At 38.0% G+C, this 9247-nt stretch overlaps 1 annotated feature.

Annotated features, from left to right (window-relative positions):
- Positions 8520-8629: an enhancer, noted in NCBI's record as "active region_13469". NCBI's record gives its function as "activates an Ori minimal core promoter by ATAC-STARR-seq in GM12878 lymphoblastoid cells {active_cell/tissue: GM12878}" and the evidence as "EXISTENCE:reporter gene assay evidence [ECO:0000049][PMID:35858748]".

Raw genomic sequence — 9247 nt, 5'->3', positions numbered from 1 at the left:
CTCAAAGGATTATCAGTGGCGACTATGAGCAACTATATGCCAATAAATTGTAAAACCTAGAAGAAAGGAATAAATTACTAGATAAATACAACCTACCAAGATTAAACCATGAAGAGATAAAAAACCTGACCAGACCAATAACAAGTAACAAGATTGAAGCCATAATAAAAAATCTCCCAGTAAAGTAAAGCCCGGGACCCGATGGCTTTACTGCTGAATTTTATCAATCCTTTAAAGAAGAAATAATACCAATTCTACTCAAAGTATTCCAAAAAATAGAGGAGGAGGAAATACTTCCAAACTCATTCTACGAGGCCAGTATTACCCTGATACCAAAACCAGACAAAGACATATCAAAAAAAGAAAACCACAGGCTAATATGCCTGAGGAGCACTGATGCAAAGTTCTCAACAAATTGCTAGCAAGCTGAATTCAACAACACATTAAAAAGATCATTCATCATGATCAAGTGGGATTTATCCCAAGGAAGCAAGGATAGTTCAGTATGTGCAAATCAATCAATGTGATACATAATATCAACATAATGAAGGACAAAAACCATATGATCATTTACATTGATGCTGGAAAAGCATTTGATAAAATTCGACATCACTTCATGATAAAAATCCTCAAAAACCTGGGTATAGAATAAAAGCCATATACAACAGACCCACAGCTAGTATCATACTGAATTAGGAAAAACTGAAACCTTTCCTCTAAGATCTACAACAAGACAAGGATGCCAACTTTCACCACTGTTATTCAACATATTACTGGCTATCCTTGCTAGAGCAATCAGACAAGAGAAAGAAATAAAGGGCATCCACATTGGAAAGGAAGAAGTCAAATTGTATTGCTATTGTTTGCAGATGCTATGATCTTACACTGGAAAAACCTAAAGGCCTCATCAACAATCTATTAGAACTGATAAACAAATAAAGTAAAGTTGCAGGATACAAAATCAACATACAAAAATAAGTAGCATTTCTATATGCCAACAGCAAACAATTTGAAAAATAAACCAAGAAAGTAGGCTGGGCACGGTGGCTCACATCTGTAATCCCAGCCCTTTGAGAGGCCGAGGCCGGCAGACCACCTCAGGTTAGGATTTCAAGACCAGCCTGGCCAACATGGTGAAACCCCGTTTCTAACAACAACAACAAAAAAAAAAGCCAGACATGTTGGTGCATGCCTGTAATCCCAGCTACTCGGGAGGCTGAGGCAGGAGAATCACTTGAACCCGGAAGGCGGAGGTTGCAGTGAGCCAAGCTTGCACCACTGCACTACAGCCTGAGTGACAGAGCAAGACTCAGCCTTGAAAAAAAAAAGAAAGCAATCCCATTTATAATAGCTCCCAATAAAATTAAGTACCTAAGAATTAACTACAGAAGTGAAAGATTTCTACATAAAAACTATAAAACATTGATTCAAGAAATTAAAGGGGACACACAAAATAATGGAAAGATATTCCATGTTTATGGATATAAAGAATTAATAAGAATTAATACCATTAAAATGTCCATACTACCCAAAACAATCTATAGATTCAATGCAATCTCTCTCAGACTACCAATAAAATCCTTCACAGAAATGGAGAAAACAATCCTAAAATTTATATGAAACCACAAAAGACCCGGAATACCCAAAGTTATCCTGAGCAAATAGAACAAAACTTGTAGGAGTCACATTATCTGATTTCAAATTATACGACAAAGCTATAGTAACCAAAACAGCATGATACTGGCATAAAAACAGACACATAGACCAATGGAACAGAATAGAGAGCCCAGAAACAAATCCGCACACTTACAGTGAACTCATTCTTGACAAAAGTGCCAAGAATACACACTGGGGGAAAGAGTCTCTTCAGTAAATGGTGGTGGAAAAACTGGATATCCATATGCAGAAGAATGAAACTAGGCCCCTCTCTCTTGCCATATACAAAAATTAGTTCAAAATGAATTAAAGATTGAAATATAAGACCTCTAACTATGGAACTACTGAAAGAAAGCTTTGGGGAAATTCTCTAGGACATTGGACTGGGTAATAACCAGATTTCTTGAGTAATAACCCCAAAGCACTGGCAACCAAAGCAAAGATTTCTTGATTAATAACCCCAAAGCACTGGCAACCAAAGCAAAAATGGACAAATAAGATGACATCAAATTTAAAAGCTTCTCCACAGCAAAGGGAACAATCAACAATGTCAGAATAGACATTTCTCAAAAGAAGACATACAAATGGCAAACAGGTATATGAAAAGGTACTCAACATAAATGATATCATAGAAATTCAAATCAAAAGTAAAATAATATATCCATCTCACCTCAGTTAAAATGGCTTTTATCCAAAAGACAGGGAATAGCAAATGCTGGTGAGGATGTGGACAAAAAGGAGCCCTTATATACTATTGGTGGGAGTGTAAAATAGTTCAACTACTATGGAGAACAGTTTGGAGTTTCCTTTAAAAATTAAACATAGAGCTACCCTATGATCCAGCAATCCCACTGCTGGTATATACCAAAAGAGAAGAAATTAATATATCAAAGAGATATCTGCACTCCCATGTTTATTGTAGCACTTTTCACAATAGCCAAGATTTGGAAACAACCTAAGTGTCCATCAACAGATAAATGAATAAAGAAAATGTGGCCAGGCACATAGGCTCATGCCTGTAATTGCAGCACTTTGGGAGGCCAAGGTGGGTGGATCACTTGAAACCAGGTGTTTGAGACTAGCCTGGGCAATGTGGCGTAACTCTGTCACTGCAAAAAAATACAAAAATTTGCCAGGCATAGTGGCGTCTGCCTGCAATCTTAGCTACCAGGGAGGCTGAGGTGGGAGGATCACTTAAGCCCAGGAGATGGAACTTGCAGTGAGTGGAGATCAGGCTGGAGACTCTTGGGCCAAGATCAGAGCTAGAGTCTGTCTCAAAAAAAAAAAAAAGAAAAAAGAAAAAAGAAAATGTGGTACATATATACAATGGAGTACTATTCAGTCATAAGAAATGAGAGTCTGTCATTTGCAACGACATGGGTGGAACTGGAGATCATTATGTTAAGTGAAATAAACCAGACACAGAAAGACAAACTTTACATGTTCTCATTTATTTGTGGGAGCCAACAATGAAAACAATTGAACTCATGAGAGAGGGAGAGAGTAGAAAGATGGTTACCAGAGGCTGGGAAGGTTAGTGAGGTTGGAAGAGTAAAGATGGTTAATCGGTACAAAAATATAGTTAGAATAAATAAGATTTAGTATTTGATAGCACAACAGGGTGACTACATTCAATAATAATTTATTGTACATTAAAAAATAACTAAAAGAGTATATTTGGATTGTTCGCAACACAAAGATGGATACCCATTTATGTTGATGTGGTTATTATGCATTTATGCCTTTATCAAAATATCTCATGTCCCCATAAATATATATACCTAGTACATACCCACAAAAAATTAAAAATTAAAAACATTTTAAAGTTTTCCCCTTATTTTTAGGTATGGGTTTTCTTCATTTTGTGAAAGGGTGGCCTGCCTTTCCACACCTGTGGGTATTTTTTGTCTGGTGGGACGAGAGACTGAGAAAAGAAATAAGACACAGAGACAAAGTATAGAGAAAGAACAGTGGGCCTAGGAGACCGGTGTTTAGTATACAGAGGACTTGTACCGGACTGGTCTCTGAGTTTTTTTAGTATTTATTGATTATCATTTTTACTATTTTAGTAAAGGGAATGTGGCAGGAGAACAGGGTGATAGTGGGGAGAAGTTTAGCAAGAAAACATGTGAGTAAAGGAATCTGTGTTACAAATAAGTTTAAGGGAAGGTACTATGTCTGGATGTGTATGTAGGCCAGATTTATGTTTCTCTTTATTTAAACATTTTAGTGTAGTAAAGAGTAACAGAGTAGTATTGTCGCCAGTATATTTTGCCTCTAGTCACAGGGCGGTTTTTTTTTTCTGTCTCAGAATAGAACGAATGTATGATCGGCTTTTATACCGAGACATTTTGTTCCTAGGGGCATGCAGGAGACAGAGGCCTTCCTCTTATCTCAACCGCAGGAGACCTTCCTCTTCTACTAATCCTCCTCAGTACAGACCCTTTACGGGTGTCAGGGTGGGGGACGGTCAGGTCTTTCCCTTCCTACGAGGCCATATCTCAGGCTGTCTCAGTGGGGAGAAACCTTGGACAATACCTAGGCTTGCTTGGGCAGAGGTCCTTGCGGCTTTCCACAGTGTATTGTGCCCCTGGTTAATCGAGAATGGAGAATGGCGATGACTTTTACCAAGCATACTGCCTGTAAACATATTGTTAACAAGGCACATCCCGCACAGCCCTAGATCCCTTAAACCTTGATTTCATACAACAAATGTTTCTGTGAGCACAGGGTTGGGGCTAAAGTTACAGATTAACAGCATCTCATGGCAAAACAATTGTTCAGGGTACAGACCAAAATGGAGTTTCTTATGTCTTCCTTTTCTACATAGACACAGTAACAGTCTGATCTCTGTTACAGCTTCTACAGAAAATCTAATTACGCTATTTCAAACAATAGGACAATTCTGCCCATGGTTTCCAGAACAGGGAACTTTAGATCGAAAAGATTGGGAAAAAATTGGCAAAGAATTAAAACAAGCAAATAGGGAAGGTAAAATCATCCCACTTACGGTATGGAATGATTGGGCCATTATTAAAGCAACTTTAGAACCGTTTCAAACAGAAGATAGTGTTTCAGTCTCTGATGCCCCTAAAAGCTGTGTAATACATTGTGAAGAAGAAGCAAGGACAGAGTTCAAGAAAGGAACGGAAAGTTCACATTTTAAAAATGTAGCAGAGTCTGTAATGGCTCGGTCAACGCAAAATGTTGACTACAATCAATTACAGGAGGTAATATATCCTGAATCATCAAAATTAAAGGAAGGAGGTCCAGAATTATTAGGGCCATCAGAGCTTAAACCACAAGGGCCATCAACTCCTCCTCCCGCAGTTCAAATGCCTGTAACATTACAACCTCAAATGCAGGTTAAACAAGTGCAAACCGTTGGGTCCCTTTCCTGGCCAGCATCAGTTTTAAAGTTACCGGGAACTGCTATGCCTCAAGATCTCCCTGTTTTCTGGTGTGATCTCAGCTCACTGCATCCTCTGCCTCTCAGTTCAAGTGATTCTCCCTGCCTCAGCCTCCTGAGTAGCTGGGATTACAGATGCCTGCCACCACATCTGGCTAATTTTTTTTTTTTTTTTTTTTAGTAGAGATGGGATTTCACCATGTGGGTGAGGCTGGTCTCAAACTCCTGACCTTAGGTGATCTGCCCGCCTCGGCCTCCCAAAGTGCTGAGATTATATGGGTGAGCCACCGTGCCCGGGCAAGACCTATTGTTTTCATAAAAAGAAGAAATATGTTATCAAATATCTCATTACTCCCAGCACAAGCCCTGTTTTATCACTCACAATCAACATATAGCAACCGTTTGCCTAATTCTTCCCTACCTTTGGATTCCTAGCTCACCCTTTGACCTTGTCTCCTATTGATGCTTCCCTGGTGCTAACAGTGGCTTCTCTCCATTAGATACAATAGTTTCTGACAATCTATATATGATTAGTGCATACCTTGCATTATTCTTGAAAGACAGCATTAGAAATGGATTCCACCTAAATATACTGTCAATAGGAATAATCTCCTATACTAGACTAGACGATGTCTAAAATCTTACCATCAATGCGGCCACAGTCTACTGTCTCTGCTAATCCACGTCTAAATCTAGGACATGACTGTGCGGGGCTTAGTATTACATTCTAAGAGAGTTATCCTGTTCAGCACACAGATTAAGGCCACACCACTGTAAGAGGGGAAGCAATTTCAATGAACATGTCAATCACTGGAAAGTGAAGGAGGTGCTAAAACAGAAAATACAGTTCAGAGGTAACTATGAGTGAGGGGGGAGGGAACTGTATTTCTCTCTAGGTCCAGCGTTGAAGACATTTAAATGCCTGGATTTTTGATTGTGTGTACTAGGTATTAAGAGTCACCCTGACTGTGGAGGAGGGCCCGAGATCAGGATGGGACATGTTCAAGCCCCAGAGTGCAAGCATATTTTGTAAGATATCATCCAGTTTTACATTGTTCTGTTTGGTTGACTCCACATCCTTTAGTTAAGTCTCCTTAAACAATTTCTATTTTGTCTCATCATACCTCAGAGAATTAAAAGGAAAATGAAGTTTGGCAAACAAGAATTATTTTCTATTATCAACCCTAAAGAAGCCGAATTTTATTTTTATTAAGGAAATACAGTACTTCCATACTTGATTCTCAAAGAGCATTTTCTGATTTTTTTCATTGTGTTATCCGACTACAGTCCCCTTGTTTAAAACCTTAAAATATTCTATTATTTTCTGTTGTAACATTTATTATAATAATAGTGGTAGAGTTCATGGTGTTATTTTCTTTATTTCCCTCATTGGCTTGGTAACTATACGCTATCAGAGACCAAGTCTTCTTTCATTTCCTGCAGCATTTCAGTATTCTCAACTGATGTCAATAAATAATTAAGTCCCGCATATTGTGTAAAGCAGGATTTCTCAACATCAGCACTGTTGACATTTTGGGCTGGGTAATTATTTGTTGTGGGGCTGTCCTTTACATTGTAGCATGTTCAGCCACATCTCTGGCTTCTAACCACCGGATGGCAGTAGCAGCCCTTCCCTACAATTCTGACCATCAAAGATGTCTCTAGACACAGAGCCAGATGTCGCCCAGGGGCAAAATCACCCTTAGTTGAGAACCATGATCAAGAATATTGCAGCATTCAAAATGCTTTCAGGTTAAAAAATAAAGAATACTGCATCATTCAAAATTCTTTCACAAAAAAAGATGATTGTTAAAAGTTGAATGATAGTAGTGATAAATAAAAATCTGGCTTAAATTGATTGAATCATGTAATTTTCAAACATTTATTTTGGCAATTTCCAAAAGCCTCAAAATAGATGGAAGAAAGGGAAGTAGCATTAATAGATCATACCTACTAGGCACTAGGCACTTACCTTACAGTGATTCATCTAATGATCCACAAAATGTAATGAAATAAGTTAATATCAGGACTCCAGAGAAGGGTCTGTTTTCTGAGGTATTCTCCACAAAATGTAATGAAATAAGTTAATATCAGGACTCCAGAGAAGGCTCTGTTTTCTGAGGCATTCTCCACTGACCATTCACCATTAGTGTAATAATTTTTAAAATAGCATAATAGTTAAGCCCATGGGCTATAGTGGTAGCTAGAGGGTTCCAGGCCTGGTGTTGCCATCTGTTAGCTGTGGGACTAGGGCAAGTTATAAGCACTCTGTGAGCTTCAATTTCCTCACCCATGAAGATGGATTTAATTATAGTACTCCCTTCATAGGTTTTGTGAGAATTAAGTGACATAATGCATACAAAGTGTTTAAAACATTGCCCAAACCTTAGTACCCAATAAATATTGCTTCTAAAAATAAAATTAACTTTACATCAAAAGGAGCACACCAATTGCAAGCACCTAAATAGTAAGACATAACCCGATTTCAGAGACTTTAAAAATACCTTAAGCATTTATCTGATAACTCATGTTGTTGTCCATCTTTTCATGTGCTTATTGGCCATCTGTATATTTTCTTATGTAAGGTGTCTGCTAGAATATTTTGCATGTGTTTTAACTGAATGTTTTTCTTTGAGTTTATTATTTTGAATATAAGACCTTTATCTGCTATATGTGTACAAATATTTTCTCCCAATTTCTGATTCACCTTTTTGTTTACTAGGAAGAGCAAATGTTTTTACTTTTGATAAACTCCAATTATCCTTTTTTTCATTTATTATCTGTGCAATTCATATTTTAAGGAATCCTTGCCCAGCCAGATCTCACAAAGATTTTCTCCCGTATTTTCTGCTAGCAGTTCTAACTTTTTACATTTAGGACTATGATCCCTTTCAAGTTAAACAAAATGTGGTGTATCCAGACAGTGGAATACTACTCAGCAGTAAAAAGGAGTAAGTTACTGATACACACAATTTAATCTCAAAATTATTAGTCTGAGTAAAAGCAGCCAGACACAACAGAGTAGATGCTGCATAATTCCATTCATAAAAACTTTTAGAAAATACAAACTCATGCATAGTGACAGAAAGCTGATTATTGGTTGTCTGTGGATGGGGATGGAGGCAGAGTGGACTTCAAAAGGGGATGAGGAAACTTTAGGAGGTGATGGAAGTGTGGCATCTTGATTGTACTGCTATGTTTACAACCGTCAAACTAATAAAATGGCTTACTATAAATATGTGCAGTTTATTTGATGTAACTTATACCTCAATAAAGTTTTTAAAACCCATTTAAGATCAAGGAGATAAAGAATTTTGCTCAAGCTAGTTGGTGCAGAATTAAGATCCTATATTCACATCATGCCAACCCCAGCACTTGTCTGACTTCACGGCACCTTAATGTTCCACAAACGGTATCTAATGTTGGCTCTCAGTGGGTAACAAGCAACTCCTGTCCTCTAGAGGTCAGGCTTGTCCAGGAAAATAATTCCAGAAACTGGTAAATACACTTGCTCACTTGAAAGTAGCCTTACACTATGTTGGAGGAAATACTTTGTGTGTGTGTGTGTGTGTGTGTGTGTGTGTAATTTGCATAAAAAAATTAGTGTGGTTTAGTATGAGACCCTATCCCCACATAAAAAAACCCCACATTTCCCTAGAGTAAGGATGATGAGAGTTAGCATTTTATGGAAAGATAACCTGTTCAAGGAGTCTGAAAAGGACCTTAAATCAGGAAAACCTGGTTCTATGCAGATTTTAAGCCAGAAGCACTGTAGCAAAACCCAGGTACCCTGAGCTATATCGGTTATTTTCTTCCAGAAGTGAAAGTTGGAACAATTTAATAAAGAGCAATAACTTATTACGGATCTATTAAATGCCTGGGCTTGTAGTAGGTGCCTTACACGTGTCAGCATACTAATCCTGACAACAACCGTCTGAGGCTAACGCTAGCCCTACTACTTTCACTGGGGAGGAAGCAGTTGTCAGAGAGGCAAATAACGTCTTCATGTTCCCAGTCAGTGGAGCCTTGTTGCCTCCAAAACCTAATTCACCACTGCGAGATATTACATTTTTATTTTAACAAGACTAAGCCCTAACTGAAATGTATAGTTCATTAATATAAGCAATTTTCAGCCATGGTTGAAGTTTTTGGCCAAAGACCTTCTTTCAATGGAACTGAAGA

The sequence above is a fragment of the Homo sapiens genome, chromosome 18 (genome assembly GCF_000001405.40).
Source record: "Homo sapiens chromosome 18, GRCh38.p14 Primary Assembly".
NCBI classification, from domain to species: Eukaryota; Metazoa; Chordata; class Mammalia; order Primates; family Hominidae; genus Homo; species Homo sapiens.
Note: the sequence above shows the minus strand (reverse complement) of the source record. Positions and strands in the feature narration are given on the sequence as shown.